At 37.2% G+C, this 26,379-nt stretch overlaps 1 long non-coding RNA gene across 3 annotated transcripts in view; it reads left to right on the top strand.

The window, feature by feature from the left end:
• LNCPOIR (lncRNA periodontal mesenchymal stem cell osteogenesis related) overlaps positions 1-26,379 on the top strand; it is a 68,396-nt gene that overhangs the window by 16,093 nt on the left and 25,924 nt on the right. For 2 of the 3 annotated variants that reach the window (NR_183489.1, NR_183488.1), the window contains one exon: positions 5,536-5,781. The exons of the other annotated variant lie outside the window; for it this stretch is intronic. This is a non-coding gene — a long non-coding RNA (lncRNA periodontal mesenchymal stem cell osteogenesis related). Of the gene's footprint in view, positions 1-5,535; positions 5,782-26,379 lie in introns of those variants that run through there. 3 annotated transcript variants of the gene reach the window in all.

The raw sequence follows: 26,379 nt of genomic DNA, 5'->3' as shown, positions 1-26,379 counted from the left end.
ATGGAATACTACACTTCCATAAAAAGGAATGAATTAATAGCATTTGCAGTGACCTGGATGAGATTGGAGACTATTATTCTAAGTGAAGTAACTCGGGAATGGAAAACAAAACATAATATGTTCTTGATGTGTGGGAGCTAAGTATGGGGATGCAAAGGCATAAGAATGATGCAACGGACTTTGGGCACTTTGGGGGATGAGTGGGAGGGTGGCAAGATATAGAAGACAACAAATACGGTGCAGTGTATGCTGCTTAGGTGATGTATGCACCAAAATCTCACAAATCACCACTAAGGAGCTTACTCATGTAACCAAATACCACCTGTACTGGAATAACTTATGGAAAAATTAAAAATTAAAAAATTTTTAAAAAGTATTGTACACTTTGTCTCCTCATGGGTCATAAAACCAGAGAGGGAACCAAACATGAACACATAAACACACAAAAAGACATGATTAGAAATGTGATGAGTATTATAAAATGCAGAAAACAAAGCAAAGGTTCTAATTTGGATTAGGGTAGAGCTTCAGTAAAACATTTGCAAAGATGCCAACATTTGAGCTAAGGACAAGTCGGTGCAGGGATAGATCCTGTGGCTGAGAAAAAATGTTCTAAGCAGAGGGACGAAGGGAAGACTGTGGGTAGAGGCCAGAGCAGGAAAGAGCTTTGTGCATTTAAGCAGTTGACAGGCTAGAGTGGCGGGAGAACAGCAAACATGGAGTCCTGAGAGAAGGCTGCCGAGGAAGTCAGGACCAGGTCATGCAGAGCTTTGTGGGCCACTTAAGGAGTCTGCATCTTTCCTGAGAGCAATCCATTAAAGTTTTCTAACCAGATGAGGTTCATAACTCAATTTATATTTTTAAAATAAAGTTTTTGGAGAGATATTTATGAAGGTAGTAGGGCTCATTAAACCTAAATTATCTTGCTAGTTTAAAAAGCTTCTTAGCAATATATTTTCTAAGCTCATTCAGTTGTCATTACACAGGTTTCTGACTTTAAAAAATGAGATTGCATGTGGACCAAAGTAAGGGTACACATGTCATTATCTTTCCCATGCACTGTCTAGTCTAGGCTTTCTCAACCATGACACTATTGACATCTGGGACTGGATATTTCTTTATTCTGGAGGTTATCCTGTGCATTTTAGGGTGCAGTGTTCAGCAGCAACCCGGGCCCCTACACTCTAGATGCCAGTAGCACACTGTTTCTCCACCCCACTCCCAGATGTGACAACCAAAAATGCCTCCAGATATTGCCAAATATCCCCCAGAGCCAAAATTGACCCCAGTTAGGAAACACTGATCTAATTTTAGTTAAAGAGGCAATGTTACCCATTTAAAGGCACATAATATCTGCAGGAGCCATCACACAGAAAGGACCCTAAAAGCCATTCTAGAAATTACCTTACCTGAGCCCTGGTCGTTCTTACAAACATATAGAAGAGTTAGTGCTCAATTGTTGCAGAAGTAACTTAATATTCTTTGTACCTAAAATACACATGTCAACCAAATCCTTAAAATTAGGAGACATTTGGGTTTGCTGAAGTCATTCGGCTTTGTGAAGAAAGGGAGCTATTCTCACTTTCTCCAAGATTCTTCAAAAGAAGATGGAGGTCCAAGAAGACACAGCCACTGTAGGCTGACTTGTTTCTCTCTCTAACTGCTCTAATCATTTTTACTTGACACCTTCATTTCAGAGGCTTTCACAACTGAAAATCACAGAATGCCTAATTTTTGTGTATTTTTTTTTAGTAGAGACAGGGTTTCTCCATGTTGGCCAGACTGGTCTCGAATGCCTGACTTCAGGCGATCCACCCGCCTCAGCCTCCCAAAGTGCTGGGATTACAGGTGTGAGCCACTGCGCCCAGCCAGAATGTCTAATTTTAAAAGGTGCTAGGGATCTTCCATCTAAGCTTCTCACTTTAAAAGAGATACTGGATTGTAAGAGGTATGTTTTGTCCAGGATTATACCCAGTGTGCATTAATTGGTGGTTAGCAAAAAGGAAGACCCTTTCCAAGTGTTTGATTCATCATCCTGCAATCAAACCTACCCAGCAAACAGACTGCTCTGTGTGATTTTGTTTAAGGCTGAACATTATGAAAACATAGCTGTATATATTTGGAGTCACTAATGTGGGGTATTATATCTATGGTCTCATTAACTAGGACAGTTTTTAAGTGTCTTTTTACTTTGAGAGTATTAGTGGTATTTCCTGGACAGATTTACACGGTCTTAAAATGTGCTGAGGGAATCCCTAATGCAGGCAGAAAGAGCAGCTGCCTCTCTGGTGGGATCTAAGGAAAAGCCTTTTTAAATTGTTTTCTCTCCCCTCACCACAGTGCTTGAAGTTCCTGCCACTTGAGGTCCTATTTCGTCAGGTGTCTGTAATAATGCAAACACGTTGAATCAGAAGAGCTCGCTAAGTCCATAAAATGTCACCAGTTAAGTTGGCAAGCAATTTGTATATAAATAAGTGCATAGATTTGGAGCCAGATCACAAAGGCGGGAATCCTAGTGTATAGAGGAGGAGACGGGGCCTCACAGACACTATGACCATGCTCTACAGGCAGTCAAGGAAAGGGTTGAGCAGCGACACAAACAAACAAAACTAACAGAGCTGCAGAGTGTATAGAGACTAAGTGTTCACTCATAAGACTTTTAGAAATGCCTCTTCAAGACAGAGAATGCCTTGCTTCTTAGACACAAATTGTTTGGCTTCAAGGACCAGAAAGCTATCCAAACTGCTTTAAGTAAAGAGTAATGTGTGTGAAAATAGGAACATCTCCCGGAATCCAAGGCAGGCAAGCTCACTGAGCAGCTGGAAAGTACAGAGCTCTCAGGACCCAAGCAGCGTGTGTGTGTGTGTGTGTGTGTGTGTGTGTGTGTGCACACGTGTGTGTATGAGTGCATGCACACGCGCAAGGTGGGGAATGAGGGGAACAGGAGGTAAATGCCATCCACAGGCTCCTCCATGTCTGCTTATTCCCTCTATCTTCTCTCAACTTTCATTGCTCTGTTTGCTGTGGCTGTCATACAACATGACTCAACCACTGAGTCTGAAAGACTTGCTAAATGCGGAATCCATAGCTAATTAATCCAATATATATATATGTTCTCTACATGTTTAGTAGAGTCTCAAATTAGGCCAATTTGTATAAAGTGTATATGCTGTACCTGATTCAATGACCATTGGCTGGAAAAGGAGGGACGGAATGATGGGTACAAAAATTTTACTCTTTGACACTATTCTAGAACAGTAGTGCTTTCATGGGAATGCATGTGTGTTTGTGTTTGTGTGTGTGTAAAGAGAGACAGAAAGAATGAATGAATCACTCTATTCAAATTATCAAGTGAGTAGTAAAAACAATATGCCAAAAATAAGAGCACCCAGAGCAGGACATGGTTAGGAGAGACTTCTTCAGTGTGGTGTAATCTGAGCTGAGCTCCCACAAGTGGGCAGGATTATATTTAGAATGGGAAAAAGAAATTAGGAGGACATTTCTCTCCAAAATGACACAAGATAGAAATGTCAAGTTTCAGGCTTTGTGATCATAAAATGTTTGGAGCTGATTGGAATGCAAGACTGGCATGTGAATTGTGTGTGCTGAGACTGAAAGTGTAGATTCCTTCCAATCATTGACTATGTCTGAGGCAAAGAAAACTAACTTGAGAGGGACATTTACACACCACAACTGAACTGGGTTTGTTAAAACTGCATGTCTTCTCAGGATAAGGCCTATTTGCCAAGAATTCACTGTTAGAAGTTGTGGCTGTGAATTTCAACTGCACCTGGGCTATTGTGGCTATTCAGTGAAGATAAGTTAGAAAGTTTACTCAATATTTTATGTACCAGTACTAGAAACTATGCAAACTGGCTAAAATGCCAAGCACAGGCCACACTACTGCATGACCAAGATGCTGGAGCAGGGCTTCTGCATCCACTAAAACTAAGCCACAAGTGAGGTGTCCATTGAAGATGAGAGTCCTTGTGTTGGCTCCAGCAGCTGTGGCAGACTGTCCCAATCATCAAACTTGGGAGACAGTCATGTATTCTTTCCCATTAAGCCACTCACACAACCCAGGCGAAATGCCCTGGTCCTAGGAAGATGACTGACTAAGGCAGCCCCAACAGGACACTGAAGGGCAACTTCTGGCAGAAAGCAGTCCCAAAAATCAGACTAGGAAAGACTTTCTATGAGCCAATCCTTTAACTAAATATCTTCTGGGGGGGAAAAAAAAGTTATTGAATTAAACCAATCCTTTTTTTCTTTTAATTTCAGTAGACTTGCAAACTGAGCTACTATGTAATCAGTGCAAATGTGTACACATCCAAAAACATTACCACATAGTTGATAATAGTGAAAAATTGGAACACAACCTAAATACTCATCAATAGGTGCCTAGATAAATCATGGTATATATAGCCATTAAAAATGATAATGTGGTTTTCTTTCTTTTTTTGAAACAGAGAGATGCTCATGCCGTGGCATATTGTCATGGGAAACTTCAGGTTATAGAGCAGAATGTATGCTATGAGCTGAGTTATGTAAATGTGTGTATGTGTGTGTGTGTCTGTACACATTTCTTATAAATATCCAGAATTATGGAAACATCGAGATATATATCAAGGTTTTAGTTATTATTCATTACTAAATAATTACTAAATTATTTACTATGGGAGCTCTTTTAGTAGGTTTACTATACTTTTAATATCTACTGTTTATGTTTTTTCTTACAGTAAGCACTACAACTCTTTGTTAGAAGAGAAATTGGGGGGAAAATTGAAAAAGTTAAAAGAAAATTGTTTTTCCTAACTCTAACAGGGAATACTGAAGAGCTGACATGGTGTGCATTTTATTTTGTAGATCTCTCAGAATTCATTATAGAGACACTCAATGCACTCTTTATGTAATGATTAGCTTATATTATGCAATTCTTGAGTAGAATTTGGGTCAGCTCTGCATGCTCATTATTTGTGCAAGTAGCCAGGACAGCCAACTTTCACAGCTTGAAAAGTATTGATACCACTGATGGATGAAATGTTTTCCAAGCATGGAAATGGCACTTTAAAAGGGTAGGGAACAAACTGCAGGTTTCTTGGTCACTGGAATAGATCTAAGGGTCATTCAGAGAGTAAGAGTTCCAAATGCTAACTTGCTAATCAGAGAACGCAGCTGGAGAAGGAGAAAAGACTGAGAAAACACTTTCAACTTTATTCCCTGAGTCTTGTATTTAGTTCCGAAACCCTGCCGCAGAGGAAGTTTGTTGCTTGAGAAACTCATACAAAAGCAAAAGAACTTCCTGGGCTGGTTAGCTTATCTCTTTTGAAATAGATAATATACCAAGTTAAAGATTGTCAATACTTGTTGTTTGGGAGGAAATGGTTTAAAACCTGAGTAGAGTTTATGCCAAACTACTCTTTTCCTCTACATGTTCACAGGCCAGTGGCAGGCAACAAAACTGAAAAGGAGGTGAAATTCCTCCTCCGTCTTTGCCTTCCACCTTCTCCCATTCCATCCCTTCTGTCTCTGCAGGAAGCCAAGAGTCTCAGGCCCTTCGCCCTTGCTTCTCAGAAAAGAACAGCTAACCATTGCCAACCAGAATGCATAGAAACTGAACTACTTCTGTGTCTGCAATTGTCATCTTGGACAAATTACCTAAACTGCTTGGGCTGAGATATGTGAATTCAGATATTGAAGCTTATTTATACCTTCATAATTCTATGCTTCCATAATGATTAAATCCACCATAGTAATAAATAAAGGCCTTAACCACATGAAGAAATATTTGGATTTTAAATAAGTCAGCAAGGATTGGAAAATGCTTGCTTGGTTTCCCTCCCTCTCCCGGCAAAAATGAGTTCCTCAGGATACAATTTCAAGCATTGATAACCTTAGCAAGAGAGAGAATTTGGAACCTTTCTAGATTCTTCAGACCACACAACAAATGGAATTACCCGCTGCCCCCTCCCACCCACATCCGCTGTGCTTAGACATTGTAGTATTCACAATGCCTTTGGAAGGCTCAGAGAATTCTTAACTCAATTGTATCAAAAGACATTGACAGTCTCATTAAAAATTGTTATCTTTATGTTTCTAATGAAAGGGCTAAACAATTTAGTTTCAGATGAGTTTTAAACTTATAGCTGCCCACCAGAACTAAGTCCTTTAATGATTCTACCCATTACTAAGTGTCACACAACAAAGTACATGTAAATCCTTTTGAAAAAACTTAATATTTTGTAGTACATTTAACTTACTAAAGGAACCATTTTGTTTGTAAGAAAATAACACTGTAACAAACATGTTTATTCTAACTAGATTACTTCATGTTACAGAATGTTTGAAAAGACAAATGAAAAACTGAGATTCCTTATGAATTGACAAAGTGCTTTTTTACCCTTTCTTTTTTTTATTCAATTAAGGGTGGGTTTTACACTTCAGGATCATCCAATTTCTGCTTCATGTCCATCTTTCAGTAAAACATCTTTTTGCTTTAGGCTTTTATTCTGTTTTCTGTACTTTTCTTATTCCAATGTTTCATTTTCTTTAGAGCTCTCTATTAATTTCCCCCAAGCCTATTTTTTTTACAACCCTGTGTTCTTTTCCTTTAAGCACCCAAGAATGACATTTTCTCTGTTCTCCAGATGGTTTTGGTCTCATTATTAGTCTTTTCCCCCTTAGTTTCATTATGTACTTCTTTTACGGCTAGTTAGCAAGGATAGACACAGCCTGTACATATACTTTCTACTTTACATTCTCACTAATTTGAATTGTTATCCCTTCCACAGGCAGCAAGTAAACTAAGCAATCACTATAAAATCAAGGTGCTTTCACACAGGTCTGATCTGTCATTGTGGGCTTTCTAAATCTAGTCAGATCATATTCCTTCTCTGTCCTGGTAAGAATAAAATTTTCAATGAATCTGTATCCTCTTCAGGTTGGCACAGAAAATCCTTTCATAAAGCATCAGTACCTACAATATCTGGTTCCTGCTGACTCCTTTGATTTCTCCTCTCAACTTTCCTATTGTACTTTCTGCTCAACTTGTTCAAATCCTTTCAGTTTCCCCCAAACACCATGTTCTCACATCTCATCATGCCTCTAGCTCTTCCCTCCCCCTCATGAAATAGCCACCCCTTTCTTTGACTCACTCCTGTAGAAAATCTTCTTACATTTTTCGTTTCCTCACGTCCAAATCTGGGTTTGAATGTGTCTCTAAATTTCCCTATGCTTGCCTCTCTTACAGGACGTACCTCCAGGTTTTATTAGTGGTGATGGTTTATTTGGCAGTCTTCCCCCAGTGGATTCTAAGCTTTTCTGAGCAAAGTACCCATTTTCTTTCTTTATTTATACCACGAGGACTGAACTGCCATGAAGTAGTGTTTGTGAGAGAAATGTATTTGTATATGAAATACCAAATGAGAAAAGGCACTAGAAATCTTAAGTGACACGCATGATGATTGCCAAAACAAGGTAATCATATTCTAATTATAAGCAGTTAAAGGGGAAGAAGATGGAGGATGTAGTTTTGCTTCAACTTCTGAAAAGCTTGAAGGCATCAGACACCTCTACTTTTGCTTTGAACTTTCAAGAGAAGAAAGCTGCTGGAGCAAAAGTCGACTATGATAAAGGTTACTTACTGTTCCTCTTGCTCAGGCAGCCTTTTACTCTCTAGTCAATTGTGCAATAGTCCTGAATCCAGGAACCTGGGCCATTGTTCTAATCAGTCAATTCTAACAAGGCGTCTAGACCCCTGTCACTTCCCGCATCTCTTTCCTGGATGTCTCTTCCAAAGGGCTCTGAATATTTTAGTCAATGCCCCACCTTGCTCTCTTCATGCTATAGAGATGCTCTGCTGTACAGCTTACAGTTAGTGTCTCATTAAATTCTTGTACTAGTCCTATGAAATAGGCTTTATTATTTTATCCCGTTTTATATTTGAATATTTGAGGGAACCAAGGCTTGAATTAATCAACTTGTCCCAAAGTGAAACACTGAAAAGAAGTAGAACTAGGATGTGAATCAGGCTATGACTAACCTTAAGTCCTGAGTTCTTAATCACCCATCAACCCTGCTTTGTCGTCTGACCAGGGCCTCGTCAAACTTTTCACTGGTAGTCTCCACCCCTCTTTGACACCTTTCATGTAAATAGTCTAGAAATAAACTTTTTTGATTAATATATCTTTATTTTTTCCCCATTCACTTTCTCTTTACTCATTATATCACAGAGTAAAATATTTTGTATTGACCCTGGACATAGAGAATATTGATAGGGATGGATGGAGACTGAAGCTACTTACAGCTTTATTTTTCCAGTTTAGATTGTCTCGGGAACTGAGATGGAACCAAACCTTTTTTAGGTTTTATATTAACCAATACTTATTAGGCAGTTGTTATGTTCCAATCACTTTGCTCTTAACTTTGTATAGACTGTCTCATTTTATCCTCATGTCAACTCCATAAAGTAGGTATTTTAGTATCCTCCTAATACAAATGAGAAAATGGAGGCAAAGAGTTTATACAACTTATCCAAATTTCTAGGTTTATAAATGAAATAAAAGCAATTGTCAAAATCAAGCAGACTGACTTCAAATCCCAAGCTCCTAACCACTGAGCTGTGTTGACTCTTAGGAGGTTGGCTTCTGCTGACTCAGTAAGTTCTTAAAGAAAAGGGAGGTAAAGCAGAAGAATAACAGGAGCTGATAGTATCGGCTCCCCCAAGGAGTGGTGCATTTCCCACTAGTGGAGGTAAATGTCAGAATGACACTTTGCAATGTTTAATTGTATGTGTCAACTTGTTTGTATCAAGGGTACCCAAATATTTGGCTAAACATTATTTCTAGGTGAGTCTGTGAGGGTATTTTCAGGAGAAACTGGCATTTGAATTGGAGTGCTGAGAAAAGTAGATGCCTCCTCTAATGCGGGTGGGCTTCATCCATTTCTTTGAGGGCCTGAATAGAACAAAAAGGCAGAGGAAGAGAGAATTCTCTCTCTCTCTCTCTCTTCCCCCCCTCCCCCCGATGGTTAATTTTGAGTGTCAACTTGATTGGATTGAAGGATGCAAAGTATTGATCCTGGGTATGTCTGTGAGGGTGTTGCCAAAGGAAATTAACATTAAGTCAGTGAACTGGGAAAGGCAGACCCACCCTCAATGTGGTTAGGCACCATCTAATCAGCTGCCAGCACCGCCAGAATAAAACAAAAGGCAGAAGAACCTGGAAAGACTAGACTGGCTGAGTTTTCTGGCCTCCATCTTTCTCCCATGCTGGATGCTTCCTTCCCTCAAATATTGAACTCCAAGTTCTTCAGTTTTGGGATTCTTGGGCCTTCAACCACAGACTGAAGGCTGCACTGTTGGCTTCCCTACTTTTGAGATTCAGGGACCAGACTGGCTTCCTTGTTCCTCAGCCAAGCAGATAGCCTACTGTGGGACCTCACCTTGTGATCATGTGAGTCAGTACTCCTTAATGAACTCCCCTTTATATATACATCTATCCTATTAGTTCTGTCTCTCTAGAGAACCCTAATTCTCTCTCTCTCTCTCTCTCTCTCTCTCTCTCCCCCTCTCTCTCTCTCTCTTCCTCTTTCTCTCTCTGCCTGACTGCTTGAGCTGAAGCATTGGTGGCCTTCTCCTGCCCTTGGACAGAGACTGGCTTCATTGGTGTTCTTCCTTGTTCTCAGGCCTTGGGACTTGGACTAGAATTTACACCACTCGTTTTCCTGGGTCTGAAACTTGCAGACAGCAGATTGTGAGACTGTTCTGCCTGCACAATCATGTGAGTCAATTCCTTATAATAAATCTTTCTCTCCCTATCTCTATGGATATGCATATACATATATAAAAATAAGATATCTTTATATATGTATCTATATACATATATAGAGAGATTTATTATAGGGAATTGACTCACATATAAAATAACTATATAGTTTTGCTAAATGTTAATCATTGCACATTTCTTTTGCTGCCATGATGGGTGATAGACTGTGTGTGCTTGGTGTCCATAACTAAATTGAAAACTGCCCTACATACAGAAACTGGATACTTTTGGATACTTTGGATACAAATAATCATGTTCAGAACGTGATTATTGGTTAAGCTAAGTAGATTTCTCCAACATTAGTAAGGATATAAAAATAATTTTTCCATAAAGGTTATCAAAAAATAATAAAACAGACATGAGAAAATTTGATGCATTCTGATAATAGGTACAGGAGCAAAATAACCCAGACAAACTAAAAAATTATGTGTGTGTGTGCATGCCTCTCATTCACCCTAGAAAAGGAAAAGGTTTCAACAGAGATTTCCAAAGGGATAACAGTCTTACTGTTTTCTGTTCAGTAGGCCAGACAGGAAAAACATTAAAAAAAGAACAGTTGATGATTAACTTTGGCCAATTCTAGGGTTTTAACTAGGTGAAGGGAATTGTGGTTTTTCAAGTGACATTCAGAATCCATTTTTCTGCCATCATTTATCTCTATTGCATATGGAGTGCTCTATCTTTCCAGCCAGCCACCCTAATAAAATGTAAGTAAAGAACCACCAGTGATGTTACAAATGAAGTACTTAGAAGCTTGCAGTAATAGGAGATATTAATAACAACCTTAATGAAAATCTGTAGCAACCCAATTTATCATTTGAAAAAGTAGCAACAAATGGTATTTTGTGCTGTTGTCAAGATTTCAGAAAGAAAATCTATTAATTAACAATGTGTAAATGCAAAGTTGCAATATTACAATTTCCACTGAGATGTGTGAATACATGGCAAGTTACCTACCAGTGTTCCTAATTATTAATATTTTCTCAGAGTTTTTTCCTGTAGAAAGACTTAGAATCCCCCAAAACAATGCATTTACTCAAAACCCTTCCCAACCTGCCAGTAGCTATAACAATAACCATGGCAGTTTGTTTTTTCCCAAATATCTTTTGTGTTCTACAATGTGACCTCGTCTCCCCCATAAAGCCATGGAATACATTGTGCTTCAATGAATAGATTATGTAGAATATAAAAAATGGGACCTGATGTGGCTTCCATGGCAAGGTCATAAATAGTCATGCAGCTTCTACCTTGGTATCTTGGAATATCTGCCTTATAAATACTCTCTCTTCTGATCTTCATGTTGGCAACCCAGCTCCCATGCATCGAGAAGCCCAACTCAAGATGAGGCTGCTTTTTGTGCTCTCACTGACACACCCAGATGAGTTGAGTCTTCAAGTCAGCCCATCTTGGGTACCAGACATATCAATGAAAAAACCTGCAGATGATTCCATCTTCCAGAAGATCGAGTCAGGTTCTGCTATTTGAGTCTTCCCAGCTAAGGTTTGAGACATGGAGCAGTAACAAACCCTCTCTCATGTCCCCTGCCTGAGGAGAGGTTTTGGTAGACCTGTTTTGACACGAAAGCTAGACTGAGTCTTACTCCAGATTTCCTTTGAAGAAAACAGTTATGCAGCATCATGAAGAAGAAGATGATGATGAGAGGAAGAAAGAAATTCCCAAGAACTTCATAGGGAAGAGTGTCTGGGGAGAGAAAAACTGGAGAATCTGGGAGAAGGCTGTGGAATGTCTAATGGTGATTTTTACACACACACACACACACACACACACAAATCCGGTATGCTCTGCAATGTAAATGCTATCATCCAATTGTTCTGTGAATTTGTTGGTGTTGTCTATATTTTTTAAGTTTGCTGCAAAAAAATATATATACATTAGGAGGACCTGGAACCACATTGTCAAGAAGTTAAAAGAGAGATTACACTGTAGGAAAAGTATGACAGCTGTGTTATAAATAAATAGTGTTCATGAAGCCCCTAATGGGTGCCAGCTATCATTAGAGGCATGGAAGGTACAATGGTGAATAAAGTAATGGTAGAAAGAAGGGCGTTAAAACATTGCACTGAATGACATATCATTGGGAGATGAATAATTTCATAAAACACTACAGAGGGTAAGTTTTCCATTTTCTAATGATAATGATAGATATTATTATTTCAAAGAGTAGGTAAAATGTGAGGAATAAACACAAATAGTTAAAAGATTTTTCCCCTTACAATAAGAGCTATGTGCTGAATTTTGTCCCTCATACCAAATCCATATGTTGAAGTCCTAAGTGCAATACTTCAAAATTTGACTGTATTTGGAGATAGAGCCTCTAAAGAGGTAATTAAGGTAAAATGAGGTCATATGTGTGGACTCTGATCCAATATGCCTGGTGTCCATCTAAGAGAGGAGATTAGGACACAGACACACACAGAAAGAAGATCATGTAAAGATATCAGAGGAAGACAGACATCTACAAGCCAAGAAGAATTGCCCTTAGAAGAAACCAATTCTGCTGACATCTTGATCTAGAACTTCTCACTTCCAGAACTATAAGGAAATACATTTCTGTTGTTTAAGCCACACAGTCTATGGTACATTTTTGTGGTAGGCCTAGCAAAGTAACACAATAAAGTAGTCCATTATACTCATCAAAGATTTTTTTCAAATTATTGACTGTTGTGAATTGTATTGTTTGGTTCCTTACAAAATTGCCAGAATAATTGTCATATTGTCATTCATAACTAAGAAGATAAAATATGCATTTATGATATTGTTTCTACAACTTGGAAGGGAAAAATTATGTAAAAATATTTTATAACACTGATTTACTAATATAAAAGTGAGGAAATATTTTTTAAAAATTCTTTAGAAAATTACAATCAATCAACAAAAATTTGGAGTTTTATTAATACTTTTATGCAAGTGGCATGAAAAGAAAATTCTCAAATTTTAATTCTCTTCTTGTATAAAATGTAGTAATTTGCATTGTTATGATCATTGATTTTAAGATATAGCATTTTTAATCGAAAGTTTGTAGTGTAAATGTGGATACGAACATGAAAATCAGACTCTATAACTGCCATGCATTATCAAGAAGGAAAAACACTCAAGAAAAGCATGTGATGCAAATCTAATCTTTCACTCTAATAGAACACATTTTCTTAAACCTTGAACATATTTTAAATAACAAATACAGATTTCTGGTTGTGGTTGTGTGTTTGATTGTCTTAAAACTTTCTATGCTTAATTACAAATTATTATGATGTTAAAATATAGAAACACACATAAAGTAGAAACAACCATTCCAATGAACTGAGATTGTTTTTAAGAACTGATATTTCAGATACTCAGATACTTGCCCACAACCTTGATAAAATTCACTGAATCCTGTTTAATTATTGCAATATCATGCAACATCATGGGTTTCAAAATGTATACATGGATTCGTTTCCTAAGTTATTAAGTTTAACTGCCTGGGTTTAAGTGTGTGTGTGTGTGTGTGTGTGTGTGTGTGTGTGTGTGTGTGTGTGTTTCTATTGACAGAGGTCTGCAACTCCTTGTTGACCACTTGATAGAAGTGGTTGATTTAAAGTGCTTTTGTTCTTCAGATACAGAAATATATTTTTCTATAAACCTATTATCTTTGAACTTGATGGAATCTTGTATTGTTTCATATTCTTAAGACCATACAACTCTTAACAGTTGTAAAAAATCACATACAACTGAATTTTTGAATACTTTAAATCATATGCAATTGCGTTATGGATATCTCACACGGCTTTGTCTGGCTTCTCTGATCTCATAATTTGGGCTGAGGATCAAGCTGTGAACAACAAAGTTCCCACTCTCATGGAACTAAATTCTGAAGGGGTAAGAAAGAGAAAATAAACAGACAAATAAATAAATACACACTGTAATAGCAGTTAGTGAAAAGTGCTGTGCACACAAATAAAACAAGCTAAGGGAATAGCACATTATAAGAGATATTACTTCAGAAAGAGAGATCAAGGAAGTCCTCTTTCGTCCTGCAGGCTTCAGGGAATATTTGAACAGGAACCTGCCTGAGGTGAGAGAGCAAGCCATGGAAATATCTTAGGGCAGAGCATTCCAGGTAGAAGGAACAGCAAGTCTGAGGACCCTGAGGCAGTAACCTACCTGAAGTGTTCAAAGAACCACAAAGAAGCCACTGCCACCGGATGGAGACAGTAAAGAGTGAAAGGCCGGGTGCGGTGGCTCACGCCTGTAATCCCAGCACTTTGGGAGGCCGAGGCGGGTGGATCACGAGGTCAGGAGATCGAGACCATCCTGGCTAACAAGGTGAAACCCCGTCTCTACTAAAAATACAAAAAATTAGCCGGGCGCGGTGGCGGGCGCCTGTAGTCCCAGCTACTCGGGAGGCTGAGGCAGGAGAATGGCGTGAACCCAGGAAGCGGAGCTTGCAGTGAGCCGAGATTGCGCCATTGCAGTCCGCAGTCCGGCCTGGGCAACAGAGCGAGACTCCGTCTCAAAAAAAAAAAAAAAAAAAAAAAGAGTGAAACATAAATGCATAATGTCACTTATTCATTCTGAAAATGTTTGTGTGCCTACTGAGTGCTAAGATCTTGAATACAATCATGGAAAAGGCAGACGTAAATTTGCCCTGTGAAGCTCACCCTGAAATAGGGGAAACAGACCAAAAGAATTCACTGAGAAACACATTTAAAAATTGCAGTTACCAAAAGCAATACGCAAACAAAGTAAAGGATGTTGGGAGATGATTTAAGAAAAAACAACAGTATTTATTTTGAATGCATTAGGAAATGCCTTTATTAAGAAGTGGATTTTAAGTTAAGCTTTAAGGAAGAAAGGAGGTAGTAATGTCAAGGCAAAGGGCCAATGTTTCAGCCAAGGAAATAGCACAAGTTATGTCCCTGAACAAGATGGAACCTGGCACAAAGGACGACCTGACAGAAAAGCAGGGTAGCTGGAACTATCTCTTGGCAATATGAGTGTTTTGGTTAAACAGGGAGAGAAGCAACCACTTGTGAATTCAATATTAACTTAAGTGTTAATGATTCTCAAATACAGTACAGACCTTTCTTTGGAGTTTCAGACACATGTATCAGCCATTTACCAAGCATTTGCCCTTTGATGTTTCACAGATTCCTTTAAGTCCACATGTTTAAAATCTTTTTATCTTTAAATCTCTCCATTACTCCAGGGCAAATGTACTTTCTATTCCTTTCATTCACAGTTTGTCAGAAGGTACCACTATCCACCCAATTTTTCAAGAACTGTACATGCTAGTTCTCATATCTGCTTCTTTTTCTCCCTTACCGTCATCTAGTTACAGATTCTATTTATGTTCAAATAGGCTTTTCTTCTTCCTCCTGACTGGCAGTTTCTAATGCGACGTCCTTTTTCTTGCTCATACTCTTGCAGTAGGCTTATTGGTCTCCTCATCTTTAATGTTACCCTCATGCTTCAATTTATTCTCAACAGTATTGTTTAGACTTATCTTTGTGAAAGTAAATATGGCTACACCAGTCCCTATTTTAAAAATGTAAATGACTCTCAACAATTTTATCACAAAGTCTCAAATTCCTAAGAAAGGTATACCATGTTCATGATTTGTTCAGCCTTGTTTCCCACCTCTTTCCAATTGCACTTCATGCTCTAATAACACTGACTCTCATGTAGATCCCAAATGGAAGTTACTTTCTGTCACCTCTATCCACAACTTTGTACAATATGTTGCCTCTGTCACAAATGTTCTATTTACACTTTTCCAGCTGTCAAACTGTATCCTTCAAGTGGCCTTTCTCCAATTCTCTTAAGACAAATTGTGCTCATATTCACACTTTATCTGATTTATGTCTTTATAACTAATAGTCTACCACAATGTCCAAGGTTCCATGAATATGTGTGGTGTTATTAGATAAATAAATGGATGGATGGATGGATGGAATGGATGGTCAGAAGGACAGATGAATGGACATTGGAGGGAGGATGATCAAAAAGACTTTCTGAGGAGACACGTTTTAGTCTCAATGTTAAATACTGGCTAAGCTTAGAAAGATTGTGGTGAAGAAAGAAATATTCTATCCATGTGGATAGAATAATGAAAGCAAGGGTGAGGAGGAAGGTGAGAGAAAGCTTTGTGGAAACAGTGAGTTCATCTGGGGTAAAATCTTTATATAGAAAATTAGTAAAAGCCAGAATATTAAGGTTGTCGGTAAAACAAAGAGGGAAAAGCAAGGACATCATATTTTAAAGGCATTCAAGCAAGGGTGATAGAAGTCACCGGACAACAAACAATTACATTTGCATGCAGAGAATGTTGCTAAGAGGCATGAAGTGGGTTTTATTTGCTGTTAAAATTCTGCAGATTGATTTATAGTTAACTATGTTGACAGCATGGAAAAGTACTCCTTTTATTTTTAAATACCTATGTAAAACCTTAGGTTAAAGATTAAATTTTCTTATAAAAAATCGTCAGATCTAAAATCATGTCTATGTCAAATTCTAATATGTATATACTTATATATTTAGACAGGATTGTGGATATGTTCTACAAAAATTCTTTTGGCAGAATATTATTTATAATTCATCAAACTAGCACATTATTTTGAAACATAATGTAAGAAAATAAAGTTTCCAATAAGAAAGGTCCAAGGAGTTACTTGCAAACATAACTAGAAGAGCAACCAAATAAATAGAATTATGAGAATCCTTCACTTTCACCTTTCACTCAGAGAATGAATCTATTAAATTATGAAGGCTGAATAGTTTTAATTTCCTTTGAACACTTTGGTATTTTTTTTAACTTAAGTGACAGGAAAGCTGTTAAAATGACAGGCACAAGAATGGCAAATTCTAAATCTTACAGAACCATAAAGAAAAAAATGAGAACAGAATTGTTTCTACATGTTCAAGGAGTAGAGAATAAGTATAAGTAGAAGAAAATAAATTTAATAAATTCAAGACATTCAGAGGCAAAGTACTTGTGGAAAGAACCTGAAAATTTTAAAAATATTTTAAAATTGTGGCAGATTATCATGTTTTAGTATAATAGCAGTAGCCTAATTTAGAGAAAGTCTGTAGAGAAGACAAAAGTCTTAGTGGAAAAAGTAAAAGCACTGAGATGAAAAAGATTTCTGAGCCTCAGTTTTCTCATATGTAAAATGGATATAATAAAATATAAGATGCAAAAACAATTGTGAGGACTAGAGATACATTATATAACGTATTTGGTGCAAGGTAAGCAGTTAATAAGTAATCATTATTGTTATTATTATCATAGAGTTTGACACACAAATTAGAGAAATTTAAAATTATAAAATAAAGAAAATGATAAAAATTATGAAGAGTTATAAAGAAAACATCAGCAGATCAATTTTTATGCTGGCAGACTAGGGAGGAAATAGTTTTAAAGAAATATTTCTCAAATGGCTGAGCATATATGTTTTCTCTGTCCCCTTGTCAGAGAGAAGTGAGTTAACAGCTAGTTAGCAACAGGTGGCATTATTGACCTCCTAAACATTGCAAAGTGCAGGAAGGTGACATTGAAAGTGGGATAGCCTCATTTGTTGACAAGGGTGTCTTTTCCCCACTTTATGTTTTTGTTTGCTTTGTCAAAGATCAGTTGGTGGTAAGTATTTGGGTTTACTTCTCGGTTCTCTATTCTGTTCCATTGGTCTATTACCTATTTTTATATCAGTACCATACTGTTTTGGTGACTGTGGCCTTTATAGTATAGTTTGAAATCTGGTAGTGTGATGCCTCTAGATTTGTTCTTTTTGCTCAGTCTTGCTTTAGCTAGGCAGGCTCTCTTTTGGTTCCGTATGAATTTTAGAATTGTTTTTTCTAATTCTGTGAAGAATGATGGTGGTATTTTGAAGGGGATTGCATTGAATTTGTAGATCACTTTTGGCAGTATGGTCATTTTTACAATATTGATTCTAACCATCCATGAGCATGGGATGTGTTTGCATTTGTTTGTGTCATCTGTGATTTCTTTCAGCAGTGTTTTGTAGTTTTCCTTGTAGAGGTCTTTCAACTCCTTTGTTAGGTATATTCCTAAGGTTTTTTTTTTTTTTTTTTGCAGCTATTGTAAAAGGGTTGCGTTCTTTATTTGATTCTCTGCTTGGTCGCTGTCGGTGTATAGAAGAGCTGCTGATTTGCGTACATTAATCTTGTATCCAGAAACCTTGCTGAATTCTTTTATCAGTTCTAGGAGCTTTCTGGAGGAGTCCTAAGGGTTTTCAAAGTAAACAGTCCTATCATCAGCAAACACTGACAGTTTGACTTCCTCTTTACCGATTTGGATGACCTTTATTTCTTTCTCTTGTCTGATTGCTCTGGCTAGGACTTCCAGTACTATGTTGAAGAGGAGTGGTGAGAGTGGACATCCTTGTTTTGTTCCAGTTCTCAGAGGGAATGCTTTCAACTTTTCCCCATTCAGGATTATGTTAGCTGTGGGTTTGTCATAGATGGCTTTTATTACATTAAGGTATGTCCCTTGTAGGCCAATTTTGCTTAGAGTTTTAATCATAAAGCGATACTGGATTTTGTCAAATGCTTTTTCTGAATCTATTGAGATGATCATGTGATTTTTGTTTTTAATTCTGTTTATGCAGTGTATCACATTTATTGACTTGCATATGTTAAACCATCCCTGCATCCCTGGTATGAAACACACTTGATCATGGCAGATTATCATTTTGATATGTTGTTGTATTCAGTTACCTAGTATCTTGTTACGGATTTTAGCATCTATGTTCATCAGGGATATGAGTCTGTAATTCTCTTTTTGGTTATGTCCTTTCCTAGTTTTGGTATTAGGGTGATGCTGGATTCAACGAATGAAGTAGGGAGGGGTCTTTCTTTCTCTATCTTGTGGAATAGTGTCAAAAGCATTGGTACCAATTCTTTGAATGTCTAGTAGAATTCTGTTATGAATCCATCTAGTCCTGGACTTTTTTTGTTGGTAATTTTTAAATTACCATTTCAATTTCGCTGCTTGTTATTGGTCTGTTCAGGGTATCTAATTCTTCGTGATGTAAGCTAGGAGGGTTGTATTTTTCCAGGAATTTATTCATTTCTTCTAGTTTATATGCATAAAGTTGTTCATAGTAGCTTTGAATGATCTTTTGTATTTCAGTAGTGTCAGTTGCAATATCTCCTGTTTTGTTTCTAAATTAGGTTTTCTCTCTTCTTTTCTTGGTTAATCTTGCTAATGGTGTATCAATTTCATTTATCTTTTCAAAGAATCAGCTTTTTGTTTCATTTACAAGTTACAGACTGGGATAACATATTTGTAATCCACATATCTAGCAAAGGACTAGTATATAGAATATAAGAAGAACTCTCAAAACTCACACAGTGAAAAACAAAAACAAAAAAATTAATCCAATCAGAAAATGGGCACAAGACATGAACAGATATTTTGCCAAAGAGGCTATACAGATGTCAAATAAGCACATGAAAAGATACTCAGCATTATTAGTTAATAGACAAACACAAATTAACGTCCCAATATAGTATCGCTTCACATGTATCAGAATGGCTAAAATAATAACAATACCAAATTCTGGTGAGAATGCTGACAAATTGAATCACTCCTATGTTGTATGTGGAAATGTAAAATAGTACAGCCATTCTGAAAAATAGTTTGGCAGTTCTTTATAAAACTGACATGCAATTTCTATACTATTCAGCAATTAATAATTGGGCATTTATCCCAGAGAAAAGTAAATTTATGTTAATGCAAAAAAACTGTACATGAATGTTCAAAGCAGCTTTATTCATAATAGCCAAAACCTGGAACCAACTCAGATGTCCTTCAATAAGTGATTGGCTAAACAAACTGTGGTACATGCATACCATGGAATATTACACAGCAATAAAAAGAAATGGGCTGTTGATACACACATCAACTTAGATGAAGCTCCAGGAAATTATATTGAGGGAGGAAAAAAAAGACAATTCCAAAAGATTGCATACCATATAATTTCATTTCTATAACATTCTTGAGATACATACTTTTTTTCAGGAGCGAGAGATTACCAGGGTTTAGGAAAGGGGAAGAGGGGGATATGGTTACAAAATTACACCACTAGAACCACTAGAGAGCCTTGTGGTGATGGAATTGTTTTGTATCTTGATGATAATGAATACAGACACCCACACACATGATAAAATTGCATAGAGCTAAACACACACACACACACACAGACACACACACACACAGAAGTACAAGTAAAATTGGAGAAATGTTAATAAGGTTGGTACATTATACTTTTGAAGGATATTACCATTGGAGGAAACTAGACAAAGAATGCATGGTATCGTTCTACGTTTCTTAAAACTACATGTAAATGCAAAATTATCTCAAAATAAAAAGTTTAATTTAAAAAATACCTATGACCTATGAATTTAATTAATGTGTATTGTTATTAGTTTGCAAGATATTAAAAAATTACTTTAAAGCAACTAAAAACTTTTAATATCTGGTATATCATTGTATAAGAAAAAAAGTAATGTAGTATTCTTCTTCAAGATAATTCTGGACAAATCAGACCGATTTTATAACTTTGGTTTAAGAGCAACTCTGTATTTCCTCCCTGGCTTTACCATCATGTAAAAATAATGCCAGCAAAATACTTCAGTTTATGCAAGTGTTGCATATATTTCCTCATGAATAGTCTATTTCAAATGTCCCAAACTTCCTCTACTAGTTTGGTGCATTAAAAAACCTAGCATCACTTAGAAAACTGCAAGATATCAAGTTCAACTAAATTAAATAATAATAAATAATGTATTAATTAAAAGAGATCAATGCATGAAATGCTACAAGTCATAGAAATTGTAAGTGCCAGCCAAAAATTATAACTTCCAGATTTTTAGTTAATTTTAAAATCTTGAACTATTATAATATTAATTTGAGTTGTTTAATAAATGAGCTCATGTATTTGGACAGCTTAATTTTAAAATGCCTGTTTTCTTATTTACTACATTATAGAGTAGCCCTCAGTTAACAAATCAAAAAGTACAAATGAATCTGGATTATGTTCAAGTGCATGTTCATTTTTTAAGAAATGAAAAATACAGTATGGTAAGGGGATATGTATACAGCATAACAAATATATATATTGGTTTATCGTGGGATTAAAAAGAATACTTCTATTCTAAAGTAAAAGTATGCCACAATGTAAAGGAAGATAATGAAATGCAAATCTAATGATTTGTACAATAAATGTAAAAGATCTGAGAAGAAATTAACCTCACATGCCTGGGTTTATAGTACTTAGAAATAAGAGGTTGAAAGGAACTACAAAATGTGTTGAAATTTTTGACAAAGTTAAGTAAATGTGATGAGTTTATTTATTAGGAAAACAGACTCATGAATATTTCATTGTATATTGTCATATAGGTAAGATTCAACAAGGTGAAACTAAAATGTGTTCTCTTCGTTAAAAGGGCTGAGTAATGCTGCTCAAATAACAAAAATTCCTTCTTATCACCACAATAACTCTATGGGTTTTGGGATACTCTTTAATCATTTTAGCTAAAGTTCCTTATTTCTTGAAAATATTTAATTTAATAATAAAAATTGTTATTTATTGCTATTTTTAAATACTGGCTGGTAACTATTGTCATTAGAACCTGTGATGTATATTCACAACTTCTCTCTTCCCTTGTGTCTTCTTGTTTTTGCTTTTTGCAAATTCAGTTTCCAAATTCAAAATAATAAAACTATTAAGACTTCTTTTACATACAAATTATGCTTGAGTCACCCTATAGTTATGAACTACCTAGTGGCCACCAGGTAACACAGAAATTTATTCCTTCATTAAAATAATTAGGCATGTTTGACATTCTTCAGATGTTTGATTAGCTCAGTATTGTTAAGAGAACTGTCCTGGTTAGTTTTATTTTCAAAACAAAAAAATATCATCCTTCTTAGGTAAATTTCATACAGGTAAAGGCTACTAATATAAATTTGTTTCCGGCCAGGCACAGTGGCTCACGCCTGTAATCCCAGCACTTTGGGAGGCCGAGGCGGGCGGATCATGAGGTCAGGAGATTGAGACTATCCTTGCTAACACGGTGAAACCCCGTTTCTACTAAAAAAAATATTAAAAAATTAGCCAGGCGCGGTGGCGGGAGCCTGTAGTCCCAGCTACTCGGGAGGCTGAGGAAGGAGAATGGCATGAACCTGGGAGGCGGAGTTTGCAGTGAGCCGAGATAGCGTCACTGCACTCCAGCCTGGGCTGACTCTGTCTCAGAAAAAAAAAAAAAAAAAATTCGTTTCCATTTTGAGAGTTTTAACAGTTAAAAAGAAACATAATCATGTTTATATTTAAAGACTATTGTCAACAAATTACTTTTTAATATATTTTTTAGATTTAAATATCCATTTAATTTATTATAATATATTGATATTAATGACATTCATAATGCATTTAATGGTATAAATTAAAGACTCTGGAAATTTATGAATGCCCTCACTATCAGGATCATAATTTATTATATCTTTATAAATTTATTATGTATTATGCCTCAACAGAACAAACTATTCTCTTTCTTTCTATTATTTTTGGCTACTATAATAAAATAACTCCAGGCATTTAGTCTTATCAACTACAAAAAGCTTTCCTCTTTTTTGCTTACATTTGTCTAAAGGCCTTGTGATATGACTTTTAAAATCAAATATTCTATAAAAAACATCAAAAGAACCTCAGGAAAGGACTGTATCAGGTAGACCTGACTGTTGTTGTTACAAGGAATATACTCATGGTTCAAGATTTCCAGGTTATCACCAGGGACTGATTTGCAGACTGAGTCAGAACCTCAGGATCATTTTAATCTAAAAGCAGATGACTCCATGGAAATGGACTGCGTAACTCAAATGCAAGCAAACAAGAATCGATCACCTAGGACACTGTATTCCTATGTTTGTGCTGCTGTAACAAATACTTGAACAACTGGAAGCAGCCTTGGAACTGGGTAATGAGTAAAGACTGGAAGAATTTTGAAGTGCATGCCAGAAAAACTTTGTCTTGCTGTGAATGGAGCCTTAGTGGGAGATTCTGGTGAGGACTCAGAAGAAAAGAAAATCTATAGAGAAAGCCTGAATCTTCTTAGTGATTACCTAAGTGATGGTGACCAGAATGTTGGTAGAAATATAGACAGTAAAGGCTATTCTGATGAGGTCTTAGACACAATTAGATATATATTATTGAAACTGAAGGAAAGGCCATCCTTGTTATACAATGGCAAAAAAAGAAAAGCCAGATGCGGTGGCTCACACCTGTAATCTCAACACTTTGGGAGGCTGAGGTGGGGGGGATCACCTGAGGTCAGGAGTTTGAGACCAGCCTGACCAATGTGGTGAAACCCCGTCTCTACTGAAAATACAAAAATTAGCTGGGCGTGGTGGCGGGCGCCCGTAATCCCTGCTACTCAGGAGGCTGAGGCAGGAGAATCGCTTGAACCCAGGAGGTGGAGGTTGCAGTGAGGCAAGATTGCGGCATTGCACTCCAGCCTGGGCAACAGAGTGAGACTCCGTGCCAAAAAATAAAATAAAATAAAATAAAATAGAAAATAAATTTGAAAAATAAAATGGCAAAAAAAAAAACAAACCCACAAAACACTTGGCTGAATTATGTTCATGTTTTGGGACTTTGTAAAGGTAGAATTTAAGAGCAATCAACTAGGATACCTAACACAAGAAATCTCTAAGTAGCAAAATGTTGAAGGAGCTACATGACTTCTCTTACCTGCTTATAGTAAAATGAGGGATGAAAAAATGGTTTAAGTATGAAAAGTATAATTAAAAGAAAAGCAGAACCTAAAGATTTAGAAAATTCTCACACTGGCCACGTAAAGAATAAAAAAGTGTGTTCAGGAGAGAAAACTAAGGGTGAGGCCAAGCAACCGTTTCATAAGGAAATTAGTATAGATAGAAGAAACACAGGTGTTATTATCAAGACAATGAAAGAATGACCCTAAGGGCATTTCAGAGGTCTTCCAGGCTGCTATGTCCATCCAAGGCTCAGAGTCCCATGGCTGAAAGACAGTACAGTCTCAAAGGAAGAGCCAGGGATACCCATGGGACCTCAAAGCTTGCTGTGCAGAGATGCCTCAACTCTGCTTCCTGAGTTCTGGAGCAGTGTGCCTTCACCCACCCAGCTATGGCTCAAGCATGCCCAGGTGCGGCTTGGGCCAATTCTCTGGAAGGTACAAGTTGGAAAACTTGGCCACATCTTGCGGTGCTAATTTTGCGGGTTCGCAGGGTGTAAGAACTGTGGAGGCATGGTTCTCTCCACTTAGAATTCAGAGAATGTCTGATAGCCTTGGACCCCCCGGCAGTAACTCGCCACAGGGGCAAGGCCACTACAGAGAGCCTCCACTAAGGCAATGCTTAATGCAGCCATGCAGGCAGAGCTGCCACCAACACCCCAGACCTTTAGGGCACTGACATGCAACACCAGCTTGGTAGAACTGCAGCCACCCAACTTCCACCAGTGAGAGCTATGGTGTGGGCTGCACCAGCAAATCCATGGGGCATAGTCCCTGGGGGCTTTGAAGGCCCAACCCCCTCCCCCAGCATGTCCAGAAGTAGGACATGGAGTGAAGCCTCAAGATTTAAGTTATTTATCCTGTAGGATTTGGGACTTACTTGAGACCTGTTGCTTTTACCTTCTTTCCTATTGCTATTGCTCCCTTTTGGAATGGCAGTGTCCAGCCTATACCTGCCTCACCATTGTATTTTGAAAGCATATAATTTCTTTGATTTCACAGGTTCACAGCTAGAGGGAAAGACTTGCCTCTGGGCAAGTCATGCATTGAGTCTCACTTATATTTTATTTAGATGAGACTCTCCTTCAAAATTCAAGTGCTGTAAATATGAGAGTATTAAGAGGTGGGACGTTTAAGAAGTGATTAGGCTATGAGGGCTTCTCCTTCATTAATAGCATTAAGGCTCTTATATAGGAATATTTTACACTGTTGGTGGGACTGTAAACTAGTTCAACCATTGTGGAAGACAGTATGGTGATTCCTCAAGGATCTAGAACTAGAAATACCATTTGACCCAGCCATCCCATTACTGGGTATATACCCAAAGGATTATAAATCACCCCCGTCGTGGGGTGGGGGGAGGGGGGAGGGATAGCATTAGGAGATATACCTGATGTAAATGACCAGTTAATGGGTGCAGCACACCAACGTGGCACATGTATACATATGTAACAAACCTGCATGTTGTGCACATGTACCCTAGAACTTAAAGTATAATAATAATAAAAAAAAAACTTCACATAGCATTTTGTTTCTTGCCCTTCCAACTTCTGCCATGTGAGGACACAGTGTCCTTCCCCTCCAGAGGAAGAGCCCTCAAAAGAAAACCAAATATGCCAGCACCTTGATCTTGGACTTCCCACCCTCCAGAACTATGAGAAAATAAATTTCTATTTTTTATAAATTACCCAATCTCAGGTATTTTGTTGCAACAGCACAAGACACCACAAAAATAGATACATGGAGCTAATGTAACTGATTTAATTAGTATAATATTCTATTTTTGATGCATATGTGAAAAACCTATTTTTTTTCTTAATCTATATATAATCCTCAACATAACCAGTTTTATCTATAGAAATTGGAATAAAACACTCTGTAAGTGGTATCTTCATCCAATATAACCCTAAGGATTTAAAAGCAAATGTCTAAACTAAGAAATGCTAAGGAAATTTAAAAATAGTTCTCAGAAAATAATGGCATATTATGATTGACCTTGTCATCAAAACAATTATAAGTTCAGTTGTATGAACAGTGGCTTTATTAGATTATTTTATGTTTTATGACCGTTTAATTACTTTATAGGTTCAATAAAATTGGATTCTCTTTCCTACCAGAATATAATTGAACAAATCAAATTTGTATCTATGACCAAGCTGAAAATCTTGTTTACCTAGATCAGATAAGTCCACTATTAAGAAGCAAGGACTATGTTTCTCATGTGGAAATGATGCCTACACATTCCTCCTAGGAAAAGTTTCCTGATATCTGTTCTATGGCATATGAAATCTCAGCCTTATAGATAGTAAAGAATATCATTTCCACACAAAGAAGGAAACAATAGGTAGCCACCGGGGCCTACTTGATGGTGAACAGTGAAGGAAAGTGAGAATCAAAAAACTACCCAGCAGGAACTATGTTTATCACCTGGGTGACAGAGTAATCTGTACACCAAGCCCCTGTGACACACAATTTACCCATGTCACAAACCTACACACGTATCCCAAACATAAAATAAAAGTTGGAAGGAAAAATTCAAAAAGAATGCTACTCCCAGTAGGCCAGGAACACCAACCAAAGAAGGGATGGATCTCAGACAAAGATGACCCTTTACACTTATAGGTTATATAGGAGAAAATAGTAGTAGTATACAGTCCCACCAACAGTGTAAAAGTGTTCCTGTTTCTCCACATCCTCTCCAGCACCTGTTTTTTCCTAACTTTTTAATGATTGCCATTCTAACTGGTGTGAGATGGTATCTCAT

The sequence above is a fragment of the Homo sapiens genome, chromosome 6 (assembly GCF_000001405.40).
Source record: "Homo sapiens chromosome 6, GRCh38.p14 Primary Assembly".
Classification (NCBI taxonomy): domain Eukaryota; kingdom Metazoa; phylum Chordata; class Mammalia; order Primates; family Hominidae; genus Homo; species Homo sapiens.
The sequence above is the reverse complement of the archived record's forward strand: the minus strand, read 5'-3'. Positions and strand labels throughout refer to the sequence as shown.